Source organism: Homo sapiens, chromosome 8, assembly GCF_000001405.40.
Source record: "Homo sapiens chromosome 8, GRCh38.p14 Primary Assembly".
Lineage (NCBI taxonomy): Eukaryota > Metazoa > Chordata > Mammalia > Primates > Hominidae > Homo > Homo sapiens.
The window spans coordinates 61857447-61871753 of record NC_000008.11 but is presented as its reverse complement, the minus strand read 5'-3'; the positions used below and the strand labels follow the sequence as shown (position 1 = coordinate 61871753).

The 14307-nt window shown below is 35.3% G+C and overlaps 1 long non-coding RNA gene across 2 annotated transcripts in view; it reads right to left on the bottom strand.

The window, feature by feature from the left end:
* Nucleotides 1-9499: 9499 nt before the first annotated feature.
* The window catches only part of LINC02842 (long intergenic non-protein coding RNA 2842), a 77208-nt gene continuing 72400 nt past the window's right edge, over nucleotides 9500-14307 (bottom strand). Inside the window, exon 5 of one of the 2 annotated variants that reach the window (NR_187554.1) lies at nucleotides 9500-10016. This is a non-coding gene — a long non-coding RNA (long intergenic non-protein coding RNA 2842). The remainder of the gene's footprint in view (nucleotides 10017-14307) is intronic. The other variant, NR_187553.1, reaches the window with a different exon arrangement.

The following is a 14307-nucleotide window of genomic DNA, read 5'->3' as shown; positions in this document are numbered from 1 at the left end:
GTTATCCACCATTTTATACTGAATTCTTAGCACAACATCTGGCATATACAGCTGCTTAATGTTTGGTGGTTGGCTGCTGATTGGTCAGGTAGCTAACTGAATGATTGAATGAATATCATTTCCATTCCTAATTCCTTAGCTTGGCATTTCCTTAAGGGCCTTTTATTACGTCTTCTCAGTAGGATTTTCTAAATTTATCTGCCATTGCTACCCAATACAAGCTCTTTGTTTCAGCTGGAATGGTGTCTTCACTTTCTCCAATCTAAAAGTATTGTCATTAAATCAGACTCCACCTCTTACATGGTATAGGTATCCCCTCTTTCCCTCCCCCGTTGCAACCCAATCCAGGTATCAAGGCCCAGATCAAGTCTCACCTTCCCATGAAGACTTCCCACTTCACCGTTCTTCCCAGAAGTTTACCAATTTTGAATTCTCATTTTCCTACACATCTCAAAACTAATTTTACACTTTTATATAATAACTTGTGTTGTTTGTGTTTTATCTTGTCGATCACATGACCTCAGATGCTTCTAAGCTCTTTTAGGGCAGGCAGTGCATCTCATATCATCTTTCATCCATTCTGTTATGTGTTTTTTTCATATTTTAACAACTCTCAAATCAGAATGCATTTTACAGTAAATGGCAGTATACAATTATTATAGGCTCAAATTGCAGTGAGTTCTTGTAGACAGTAGATGAGTTGCTTCTGTCAGAAACTATCAATTTGAAACCACTTTAAACTTAGAGTGTATACTCAGAACATACACTGTAAGTTCTGTTACACTTACAGTGTAACAGTGTAAAGCTAGCACTAGCTTTAAATTTTTAGATGAGATTTGTTTTCCCTCCCTCATCCAGTGCCGAGATTGAGACAGGTGACTTCTCTTGTCCTTTTCTGCTTGTCAGGTTTATTTCTTGTTTGCCCTTACACCAAGTATGTAGTAGTTGCCTCAGCTTAATGTGGGGTTTCCTGCCACACCCCCTATATGAAGTACTCTCTTTCTTGGTTGTAAATAAAATAATCATCCAGGTTACCAAATGAAGGCATCCTGGTCGACGACATGTAATACTAGTTTGTGTTTCTTAAATGCATGGCGCGGTGTTATTTGAAGATTAATATATGTGTACTCAGTTGAGTTAAAGTCACTCTGGATGCTCTTTGCTTTCTTATTCCACTACCTACTTCTCTGTCAAATCTAGCCCCTTTTACTAATTTAGTCATTTGGATATAAAGTAAGGGGCCAGAATTAGTATACAGTACTACAGGTTACTTTTACAGTCCTTGAAATCAGACCTCCTGGGTTTGTAGATTGGATTTTTGTGCTTTCTAGCTCTACTACTTCAGATATATAGCTTAATCCCTTTAAATCTCAATTTTCTGATTTGCAAAATGGGAGCGACAAGGATGAGGTGAAGATTAATTTAGAAACCCATGTAATGTGTTCAACCTAATTCCAGGGTCATTGTAATGCTCATTGATTATTAGTATATTTTTAGTCGAGTAATACATATAAATCCTCCTTGTATACCAAGATTTGACTGTGTCTCAGTCGGTGCCTCAGTATCTTCCTCCGAGTTGTGTGGTAGTAATGGTACTGACCTTCTAGGGCTGGTGTGAACAGTAAGTGGGATAATACATTCTGAATGCTTGGCACACTTCGTAGCACATGTGTTACACCTCTATGCGTTGTCTTCTATCCTCCCTACCACAGCCATATGAAACTGGTACTATTGTTACCCCCTAATTTATAGACCAGAGTCTAAATAAATTGTTTAAGTGAACACAATTAGTGTTGTCTCAGTAAGAAATCAAGCTCAGGTCTGTCTGAGATTAGAGTTTGATAGCTCCGTCTTTTACCATCTGCCAATGGAAAGTAACTGGGAAACGTGCCTTGCCATTTTAAGCTTTCCCCACTGCACAGACCCTAAATGTGCGCACTCTCTGTCAAACACGAACATAAAAGGAGGCATTGGAAGTGACATGGAGTCATTTTTCTAGCCGAGAAAAGGGTGATGTTAGAAATATGGTAGCAGTTAAAACTGAGAACATATGGATGTGATTTAACTGTGAATTTAGCAAGTCAAAGAAAATGAGAAAGCAATAAAGAGAAATTTTTAAGTAGAAATTTTTGTTTTCCCTGAGCTTTTATAACAAATGACTGATCAAATACCTCTTCACTCTGTCATCTCTACAGCCATGTCAATTGTGTGCAATAGCTGCATTTATCCATTTAAAGTGTCTTTTTATATTTTCAGTCATGATTAAAGTTTAGCAGACCTTCTTCAGTAAATGGTACTTTTCCTTCTTGATAAGATGATTTCTTTATCTGCTTAGCACCTTCTAATCTCACCAGAATGGAATAATTGCATGGAAATTTCTGTCCATCATGTCTTATCCTTAAGAATAGTAATGGAACATATTAGCAATTAACCTCTTAAAATTTATCAGGCAATAGGAAGCATTAAAAGATAATTAGTGAGTTGTCCAATCTCCTGAACTTCAAAATCAGTATAAAACCTTTAAAATGCCACATTGTAAAATAATCTTGAAGACTGCTATACTTTCCTACAGATAAATTGAGTTTTATATTTATAGAATTAATGGCTTTGAATTTGCATACTATTTCCTGTATAATTATATAGTAAACTCTAAATATAAGAACACTAGCTCACAGATAATTAGAGAATCTTATTTATCGAAGTTATTATTAACCACAAAATAAAGTTATTTTAGTGTATGAATAAGCTATTGTTTTCTGAAACTACAGGTTTATAATTTCATTCATTCACTGACCACATTTTGATTTAGCACCTAGGTTGTTCTAGGTAGTGGGACACAGCAATGAAAAAGACAGACAAGATCTCTATTCAAATGATGTCTATATTCTGGTGGTGGGATGCAGTCCTTCAACAGAACAATCAATAAGGAAAAATCAGATAACAAAAAATGTTCCCCAGAGAGTTAAAACAGAGAGAGGCCAGGTGGCAGCAGTCATGTTTTACATCTTTACTGACTGCCTGTTAGTACTATTGTGTGGAACCCTAAACAAAACCATAAACTGTGCCTTCCTGGAGCTTATAGTCTAGTCTAGCAGTTTTCTGTGTGTATAGAGGAAAAACATATGAGTGTAAAATGTCACATAAGAAAAATGTGAATAATTCTTAAAGAAAACAAATGTCTGAAAGATCACTTCAAAATGTGAGGAGAAGATGATGAGGTTTTATGGGAATAAAATGGTACTTCATGTGAATCTTGAAGGATGGGTAAGATTCCATAGGTGGATAATGATAAGGAAATGAGTAGAGATATTCAATGGAACCAATGAGAGTGAGCCAAGCAGTAGAGTAGAAGTGCTGGGGAGAAGGGCAGGGGTCTTGTTAGGTGAAGTACAGGGAGTGAGTGCAGATTTGTGGGATGTAGAGGGGCCACTGAAGAAGACATCTTAAAAATTGGTTTGCATTGTTCCACTTGACTGGATTGCCAGATATAAATTCCCACCTCCAAGTTCAAATACATAAAGGTTCAAATCAAATGATAGCTTCAATATATTCAACCACATTTATTAAGTGTCTAATCTATAACAGGCATATTTGTCAATGCTGGAAATGTGTCCTTGTCTTTTCTCAATTCCTTTAAGGATATACCTGTGATATTGCAATTATGCTTTGATATTATAATAGGCAAGGGGTCAGCACACTGTGTCTGTAAAGGGTGCGACATATCTCTAAATATTTTAGGCTTTGCAGGTCGTTTGTTCTCTGTCACAACTACTCAACTTCTTTGTCATATTATGAAAACAGCCACAGACAATACACAAATAAGTGTGTGTGGCTGTTTTCTAATAAAGCTTCATTTACGAAAGCAGGCAGTGGGCCCACCGACCTCTTAAATTGACTATAATCCTATGAATATAGAATTCCTGTGTGCTCACTTATTGTGGAGTGGATTTTATACAGTGGTCACTCAATTAAAATTAGAACAGAACAAATACTTGACAATACTTTATATCTTATAAGAAATCATTAACAGTCTCTTCCAAACTCAGTCTACCTACCCATAATAACCAATCACCAAATAGCTCATTAGATTAGTACATTGTCGATTCAGGTCATTTATTAAAATCTTCCAAATAACTAGACTGAATATTTTGTATCTCAAACATTTCCAACATGTTCACAATCATTATTAGTGTAACTGCATAGTAATTCAACTATTTATTCCCAAAATATCTTAAAATTATTTGACTAAAATGGTATGCTTTTTTAGTTGTTTATTTTCCCCCTATTAATTCAAACATTGAGAATTTTGGAAAATAATTAAGAGTTTACATTATCATGTCATCATAACATATGAATGTTTGCTTATACTATATTTAATGAATAGGTCAACATTCTAATTAATAATAGTGGTAAAGGATGGGAGACTGGGGTCAGGGCCAGAGAAACCAAGGTGATTTTTGAGGAAGCAGGGAAGATATCACTAGGAAGGGAGACCTCCCTGGAAGCCATAGTGAGTGATCCACTGGTTCAGATCTCTCAACCGGTTCAGAAGCTGTGCTGACCATTCAGGGCTGGGCAAGGACAAACAATCAGAAACTACAACGCCCAGGAAAACAGCTGAAAAGAGATCATCAGCCAGCACTGCAGGGGCCTCATAAAGCAGGCAGGTGAGTAGATTTGAGGAGTCAGGAAGAAGGGGATCTTGGCTACTGAGTCCGTTTTCAGCCAGCAATGAATGTAAGCGGATGCATGTGGCAGTGGTGATGGATAATAAAGACCAACTCTTAATGGGAAACACCCACCAACAACAGAAACAGCCTCCCTAGTGTTGTCAAGAGATGGTGGTTTCTTGAGGGAGTTGGCTATTGTCCTTTTTTTCTTTTCTCTTTAGGAAAAAAGCAACTTAGAAACACTTTGAGATCATGAGAAATTTCTCATATCCAAAACCAGGAGAGGGACAAAAGTGACATTCCACTGTGAATACATGCTCGTAACATGAATTTCTACAACAGTAATTTTCATTTTCTTCAATATTAAAAATCAACAGAGTTAAACATAGTGGTAATTTGAATCAAAATATAATTATAGCTAGGTGAGGTGGCTTGTACCAGTAATCCCATTGCTTTGGGAGGCTGAGGTAGGAGGGTCACTTGAGGCCAGGACTTCAAGATTGGCCTGGGCAACACAGCAAGAGTCCCCTCTCTTAAAAAAAAAATAAAGAAACAAAATAAAAAACAAATTAGTTAGGCATAATGTTGCATGCCTGTAACCCCAGCTAAGAGGCTGAGGTGGGAGGATTGCTTGAGCTAAGGAGTTGGAAGTTACAGTAAGCTATGATCGTGTCACCACACTCCAGCCTGGATATATATATATATATATATATACACACACAATAAATAAGGTGATATAATGATTATTTATATATCTCTCAATGCCTCTCTGCATAAAACTTTGATGATGTTTCTACACTATAAATTTTCAGAAAAGTAATTATAACTTTGATGAAATAAACTTTAGTGAAGAAAAATACACATATGATTTCTAAATGATTTATCTTTATTTAAACTGTATTTTTAAAGCACATAAAATGAGATGGTGACTGTGCTTATCAAAAAATAAGATCCAGTAAAAAAACTGGAAATGACTCAACGAGATCTAATAAAGACACTGGAAACGACTCACTGTCTTAAGCTAATTTTAAGGGCCTGAAAAAGTTAAAGAGGTTTTATAACTTCTTTGAGTCTCGATGGTAATGCAGATCTGTCTATAAATTTTTTTTAAATAGTGTGCCAGTAAGAAGACACAATATAAATTAAAACTTTTCAGACATTCTGTTGAAAATTCTTGGAATTAAAAGAAGTCAGTATGTGCTTACATTGTAGTTCAGATTCTTACTCTTAATTAAGAATTTAGTGTAGGTAAAAAGTTCAGTCTACATACTCATGTATGCTATAAAGGATATTTTTTCTCACATTCCTCCAGCAACACAATTTGCGTTTGAGAGATCTTATTAACTGAATGATTGAAGTTTAACCTTAAATTAGGGTCCTGCCCCATCACTTTCTCTAGGATGATACTATGTTATGTGGGTTTATGTGATGCCAAGACCTCAGATTGGAAGTGGGGGAAATACCGTGGAATCCATTGATGTTTTTGTGTTATCTATGGGCTAGCAGTCATCAGCACACCCTTCTCCCTTCTGGTCTTCAGCTATTTGATCATGCTGGGACTTTTCTATCCTATTACCTCTCTGCACCACTGTTGGCTCACCATGACAAGTTTGAGCCACTCTAGGGCCCATGGAAGATGTTCCCCTGCTCCTACACTGATTTCAGGACAATCTTCCTAAACATACTTTGTAAACATTTTTTTTCTTCCTACAACTTTGTGGCTATGGGATATCTTTGAGACCCTGCTAGATATTAGAGTGCTAGCCAGGGGAAGGGGACACAGATCTCCTCTCTGTCTTAGATTTTAATGATGGAGGGAGGACGCCCCTTCTTAGGCAAGTTGCTTGTAAGCTTTCTTCACTTTCTTCTTGGTTCATCCTTCCCTTCACCTGAAGAACCTGTATCTAGTCTTGGAATAGGAGGTTGGGATTAACATTTTGAGAAAAACAGTCTGGCTTTGTTCATCACATATCTTTCCATATTTTTTTTTGTCCATGTCTGGTTTTAAGCCAAAAGTATTGGCCTCTTTTTCTTTCTCTTCTGCTGGAGTCATCCCTTCTCTTAGGCATGGGTGTAACATAGAGAATAATAAATTTCCACAAATTTCCAGAATGAAAACATGTGGAGCCATGGAGCCATGCATGGCAGTTTATGCAATGAGGATCTTACTAGGGGTTGTTGAAAATCCGTATCAAACGAGAACAACTTTTGACCTACGATACTGCCATATATTAGGGGATCAAAAGGCACTGCCCTAGAGCATAGGCCAAATTATATTGAAGGCTTATTTTTTTTCTTAGTCTGTTTCATTGAGGTATAACTTATATACAACAAAATTCACCCTAAGTATAGATAAGTTTTGACACATGAATACAGTTATGTAACCACCACAACAATGAAGAGATACAGCATTTCTATGCCTCTAGGGCTTCTATGCAGTCAACCTCTCCCCCATCCCAGTCTGTGGTAACCACTGATTATATTTCTGACAATAGAGTTTTGCTTTTTCCCGGTTATATAAACAAGATGACACCATATATAGCCTGTGTGTCTGATGTATTTTACTCAGCAAAATGCTTTGAAATCTACTCATGTTGCTGAATGCATCAGTAATTTGTTCCTTTTTATTGGTAAGTAACGTTAACATTGAATGGATGTACCATAGTTGGTTTTTCATTCACCAGTTGAAGGACATTTGAGTGGTGTTTAGTGGTTGTTGATTATGAGTAAATCTGCTATAAAGATTCACATAGAGCTTTTTGTATAGAAATTTTTTTTCTTCTTGGGTAAAGACCTAGAAACAGAATTGTTGGTTTCTACGCTAAGTGTATGTTTAACTTTATAAGAGTCTGGCAAACTGGTTTGCAAAGTTGCTGATATCTCATCAGCAGTATGTGAGTTTTGCTCACCCTGCATCCTCGACCAGTCTTGGTATTGTCAGTCTTTTCAATTTTAACCTTTCCAGTGGGTGTACCATGATATCTTATTGTGGTTTTAATCTTCATTTTTCTAACAATAAATGCTCTTGGGCATCTCTTCATAGCTTATTTGCTATCTACATATCAACATTATATTTATATTTCCTCAATTCCATCACTTGTGATATTTCTGGCATATATTTACTTCTACATATGCTGTAAACCCCATAATACATTGTTACTAATTTTTGCTTTACATACTCAGTTATCTTATAAAGACATTAAAAGTAGAAAAGTTGTCATTTATATTTATTATCGTTTTTGCCATTAATATCTTGCTTTTCACCTAATAACTTTCTTTAATATATACTGTTGTGTAGTCTGCTGGCAATGAATGCTATCAGCTTTGATGAGGCAAAAAATTATTTACTTGTCTCAATATTTAAAAAGATATTTTTCTGAGTTCAGAGATCTGGGTTGATAGGATTATTTTTAGTCCCTTAAGTATGTTACTTTGTTGTCTTCTGCTTTACATAGTTTTTGAAGACATCTACTGTGTTCTTAATTTTGTTGTTCTGAATGTAAACTCTGCCTTATATCTATGGGGATTTTTGGAAAGAAGTGTGTTTTCTGTTTCAACCCCAGCAGAAACAGACCTCTGCTTTGTGTTAGTGTAGGATGCTGGCCCTCAACAACTTCCTTGACCTTTCCCCAAGGGTAGATGCCTTTTGCTTCTACCTCCTAAGTAGAAATGGAAATTGTTGTGGGTTCATCTAAATGGCCTTGGTTCTTGCTTTCTCCATGGCATTATTTCAGAACCTAATTTTAAAAACTTATTCGAGTTCCAAGACAGGTGAATTGTAAAGAAATACCATATGTTCCTTACTAAATTCCATGCCATTATAATATATTGTATTGGTTGTATATCTAAGCACATTAAATGAGATTTTAAGAGAAAGCTATACAGACAAGTGAAATTTTAAAGAGGTGAACATGTTGTAGATATTCCCCAAGGTTTCTCTGAGAGTAGCATCTTAATTTTCATTTTGTTAAATACAAAGTTAATATTGGCTTCAGTAACGGGCATAGACTTTACTAGCGGCAATTTAACCTTCGCCCTTCTTATCATTGTACCACTCTCCAACTACCCTTGCTGGTTATGATAACAATCATAGACCCTTTTCCAATAATCTTGCACTTGTTCTTTATGTAAATTTAAAAGTGGATAAAAGGCAGAGGCCTTTAAATCTGCATTTGTAATTTTAGCATTACTAAAGGCCAACACATCTCTTCAGAAACCACACTGTGATTATTGGATAGAGATTACCCCACATTACAATTTTCCCCTTTCATCTCTCTCCTAAAATAAAAAAATGGATTAGCTTCTAAGTAGTCTTTCTTCATTATTTTTTACCTTTTTTGGCTTGTGTCCTAGACTAAGGTGCATATTGTTACATATCTTACAATTTTATAAAATATCTCAAATTTAATTTCTTCTACATATCCATTAGAATGCACGTCATTGTAACTCCTAGAATACATTTTAAAGAAAAAAACATAGGGAACAGTCTTTATGTTTGTTTTTTAATGGCAAGAATGTAAGATTGGAGTGGGGTTGGTGGGTCTTTCCACATATTTACCATATCAATAAATGTTCTATCCTGGGAAAACTGAAGATTCTTCTAAAAAATTAGGGAATTTTAAATCATCTCCTAAGGGGCATGTTTTAACTTTGACAATTACATGACCCAACTTGACCAAGGGAAGAGGCGTTTTGAACTCCCTGTGATCCAGTTTGCCTTGTCTAAAAAACTGGATAATAGTTGTACCTACTGTATAGGTTTTATGCAGATTAAATGATATAATGTTTGTAAAATGTTCGACTGTGCCAAAAACATACTAAACACCAAATGGATGCTATCTATTTTTACTAAAATGGTAATGCAGAAGGAAAAGGATGTGAGCAGAAAGATAAACAAATCCACAAAATAAGAAATACTGGGCTATCTACGGTAGCCTCCCCCTTACCCGAAGTTTCACTTTCCACAGTTTGTTACCCACATACAACTGTAGTACAAATGTAGTCAACAGAAAATTCCAGAGATAATCCACTCACAAGTCGTATATTCTGTGCCATTCTTTGTAGCATGATGAACTCTCATTCTGCCCTGCCCCAGTGGCACTGGATGTGAATCCTCCCTTTTTCCAGAGTCTCCCCGCTGTAGATACTCCCCGTCCTTGGTCACTTAGTCACCAGCTGGGTTATCACATTGACTGTAGCGGCATTGCAGTGCTTGTGTTCAAGTAATCCTTATTTCACTTAATAATGGCCGCACAGTGCAAGAGTAGTGATGCTGGCGATTCTGATATGCCCAAAAGAAGCTGTCAAATCCTTCCTTCAAGTAAAAAGGTGAAAATTCTCCACTTACTACAGAAAGAAAATAAATCATAAGCTGAGGTTGCTAAGGTCTATGATAAGAACAAATGTTCTACCCATGAAATTGTGAAAAAGAATTTCAATTTGGTGCCTTCCACAGTTGCAGATATCCAGTATGGGTCTTGGAATGTATCCCCCACTGAAGGTAGGGAGGAACTACTGTTCTGAGAGGTTGGTGAAGAGCAGAGGGATTTCTGCCTTTACAAGGGGTTAATAAAGTACTCCCAAGAAGTGAGTAAGCTCCTACAGGAGACGACAAAGGTTTTATGGTAGAAGATGCAAATATCCTCTCAGCTATTCTGTCCTGGCTGTAATTTCTTCTATCATTTTTACAATGTACAACTGACTTATTTCAGCAAGACAATTCATTAGAGTATGAAATGAAACTATGTCATTGTTTTTCAGTAATGGCTGCCAATTTTACGATACTATGTTAAATATATCCATATGTACCTGGTTAGTGGACTCCCACTACTTAATCATAGTCAGAATCAAGAATATTTTAGTTATATTAGTTATTAAAGCTGTCATTTTGGATTCTAAACTCAGCTGTGTTCATTTTGAAATTTTAGTCTCGTGAGTTATTTCAAAGATATTGTGTCCATCCTGCATTTGCTCAAGAAGTAGAAGGAGGTTGTACTCCGGTTCTCACAGACTACTGCCCACCTTTTCCTGTCAATCGCTCTATTTTGAGTGTGGAGAGAGAAGGGGAAGCAGAGAACTGAGCAGACTCCATCCAGGAGGGTACAGTTCTCCCTTTGAATGGCCACAACCACCAGGTTCTGAAAATAAGCAATAGCATTTCTGTCTCATTCATGAGGGACTCATTATTCAGCGACTCTTGGTGGTCACTTCTAAGATTTGGCAACATCTTCCAACTGATCCTGCTAGCAGCCTCCCAGTGCATTATTTTTTTAAGTGTTTATTTTAAAATAATTTTATATTCGTATGCAGTTGTAAGAAATAATACAGATAGAGCTCATGTACTCTTTACCCACTTACCCAGTGGTAGCAACTTGCAAAATTATAGTACAATATCACAACCAGAATACAGGACATTGATATAATCAAGACATAGAACATTTCTATCACCACCCTCTCATGGTGCCCTTTTGTATTAATAGCAACACCAACTTACCTCCTGTCTCTACCACCTCAGCTACCCCAGGCAAACACAAATCTGTTACCCATCTCAATAATTCTATCACTTCACGAATGTTATATTATTTTATATAAGCATGCCAAAACAATTCAATGAGCACAGAATAGTCTTTTCAAAAAAAAGAGGCAGGAACAACTGGATATCCACCTGCAAAATGTTAAATGTAGACCACTTCTTTGCACCATGCTGACCTTGGTTGGTTAGCTATAAGATCAAAAAGCACAAGCAACAAAGAAAAACATATATAAATGAGGCTTCGTCAAAATCAAAACTTTGTGCTCCAAATCATACCACAAAGAAAGTGAAAATACAACCCACAAAACAGGAGATAATATTTTCAAGTAGTAGATCTGATAATATAATCCTGGTATCCAGAATATATAAACCTGATAGTAAAAAGACAAATAATTCAATTATAATGGGCAAAAACTCTTAATAGACAATTCTCCAAATAAGATTTGCAAATGGACAGTAAGAACATGAAAAATGCTCAACATCATTAGCCATTAGTTAAATCCATGTTGAAATCACAGAGAGATACCATTTCATATCCACTAGGGTGGCTATAAGAAAAAGACTGATAATAACAAGTGTGGATGAAAGTGTGGAGAAATTAGAGCCCTGTCACATTGCTGGTGGGATTATAAATAGTGCAGCCACGTTGGAAAACAGCTTGGCAGTTCCTCAAAAAGCGGACTATACTGTTACCATATTACCAAGAAATTCCTTATTGTGTACCCAAGGAAAATGGAAAAAATATATCCACACAAAAATTTGCACACAAATGTTTACAGCAACTTGCACACAAATATTCATAACAGCCAAAAAGTAAAAAGAACTCAAATGTCCATCAACTGATAAATGGATAAACAATATGTGATATATTCATAAAATGGAATATTATTTGCCAGAAACGTTCAATGGCATATGGATACATGCTACAAAAAGGATGAACCTTGAAAACCTCATGTTAAGTAAAAGAAGCCAGCCACGAAAGGCCATGCATATGATTCAATTTACATGACATGTGCGGAATAGGTAAATCTGTGGAGACAGAAAGCAGATTCGTGGTTTTCAGGGGCTGGGAGAAGAAAATTAGAATGACTTCTAATGGGTAAGGGGTTTCTTTATGAAGGGATGAAAATAATCTAAATTTAGATTTTGGCGATGGTTGCACAACTCTATGCTATACTAAAACCGTTGAATTCTATACTTTAGATGGGTGAATTTTGTGGTTTATGGATTTTATATAAAGATGTTAATTAAAATAATATTGTATAAATGGAATTACATATTATGTAACTATACAGGAATGACTTTTTACTCAGAATAATTCTGTAGAGCTTCATCCAAATTTTGCATGTATCAATACTTCATTTCTTTTTGTTACTGAATAGTACTCCATGCAAACCACTGATTATTTAACCATTCGCAAGCTGAAGGACATCTGGGTCATTTCTATTTTTGGCTCTTACAAATAAAGCTGCTATAAGCTTTTTTTTTCTGTGTGATTATAAACTTTAATTTCTCCAGGATAAATGCTAAGAAGTGTAATTGCTGAATCATATGGTAGCTCCATGTTTGGTTACTGAAGAAACTGTCAAAATCATTACCAGAGTAGCTGTACTATTTTTACATTGCCACAAGTAGTATATGCATAATCTAGTTCCTCTGCCTGCTCACTAGCATTTGGTTTTGTCACTCACTTTTATCTTAACGATTCTGATAAGTATGTGATGTTATCTCATTGTGGTTTTGTTGTACATTTTTTAAATGATTCGTGAGATTGCACATCTTTTCATGTGTATCCACCATTTTTATATCCTGTTTTATAAAATATCTCTTCAGGTTTTTTTTACCCATTTTCTAATCGGATTATTAATGACATGGTTTCTATGGTTGAATTTTAAAGTTCCCTATACATTCTAGATATTAATTCTTTGTGAAAAATATCATTTGCAAATATTTTCTCCCAGTCTGTAGCTTGTTTTTCATCCTGTTGAAGGGTATTTTGCAGAGCAAGAATGTTTAGTTTTGACTAATTACACTTTATCAATTTATTTTATATTAATAGACCATGCTTTTTCTGTTAAGTCTTAGAGCTCTTTGCCTACCTCTAGATCTTGAAAATTTTCTCTGAAGTTTTACTGTAAAACTTTTATATTTTTAAATTGTAGATGTATATAAACTATACATTTATTTATACATTGATATTATGAGTTAATCTTTCTATATGATGTGAAATATAGCTCAAAGTTTATATTTCTGCCTACAGATGTCCAATTGCTCCAGCACTATTTGTTGAAAGGCTATCTTTTCTACACCTTTGTGCTTTTCCACCTTGTCAAAAATCAGTTAGGCATGTTTGTGTGTGTTTATTTCTGGGTCCTTACTTTGTTCCATCAATCTATGTGTCTTATCTTTCTGCCAATATCACACAGTCATGGTTATTGTATACAATGTATTCTATATACATTGTATTTTATATAGAGAAAGCTATATAATTACTCTTCAAATTGAATGAAATGATTCTTCCAGCCATATTATTTGTCATGATTTTTGTTATTCTAGAACCCATATATCTCTATATAAATTGTAGAATAATTGTCTGTATCTAAAAAACATTTTGAGATTTGATAGTGATTTCACTAACTCTGTATGTCAATTTGAGGAGAACTGAGATCCTTACTAAGTTGAGTCTTTCAATCCATGAACATAGTACATCTCATTCATTTAGGTCTTTCTTGATTTCTTTAATCAGTGTTTTGTAGAGAATAAAATCTTGTATATGAGTTATTCAATTTCACTTAAGTATTTCATTTTTAGAGCAAGCATAAATGAAATCAATATTTAATTTCAAAGTCTATTTGTTTATTGGTAGTATTTAAAAATATAACTGATTTTTGTATATTTATCTTGTATCCTGTAACTTGCTGAATTTACCTATTATTTCTAGGAGCTTTTATGTAGATGCATTGGGATTTTCTACATAGACATTCATGCTATCCGCAAATAAAAATTGTATTTTTTCATTTCTGACCTTTTCTTGCCTTATTGCACTGGCTAGAACTTCTAGCATCATGTTGAATGAGAATGATGAGAGTAGCCATATGGTATTAA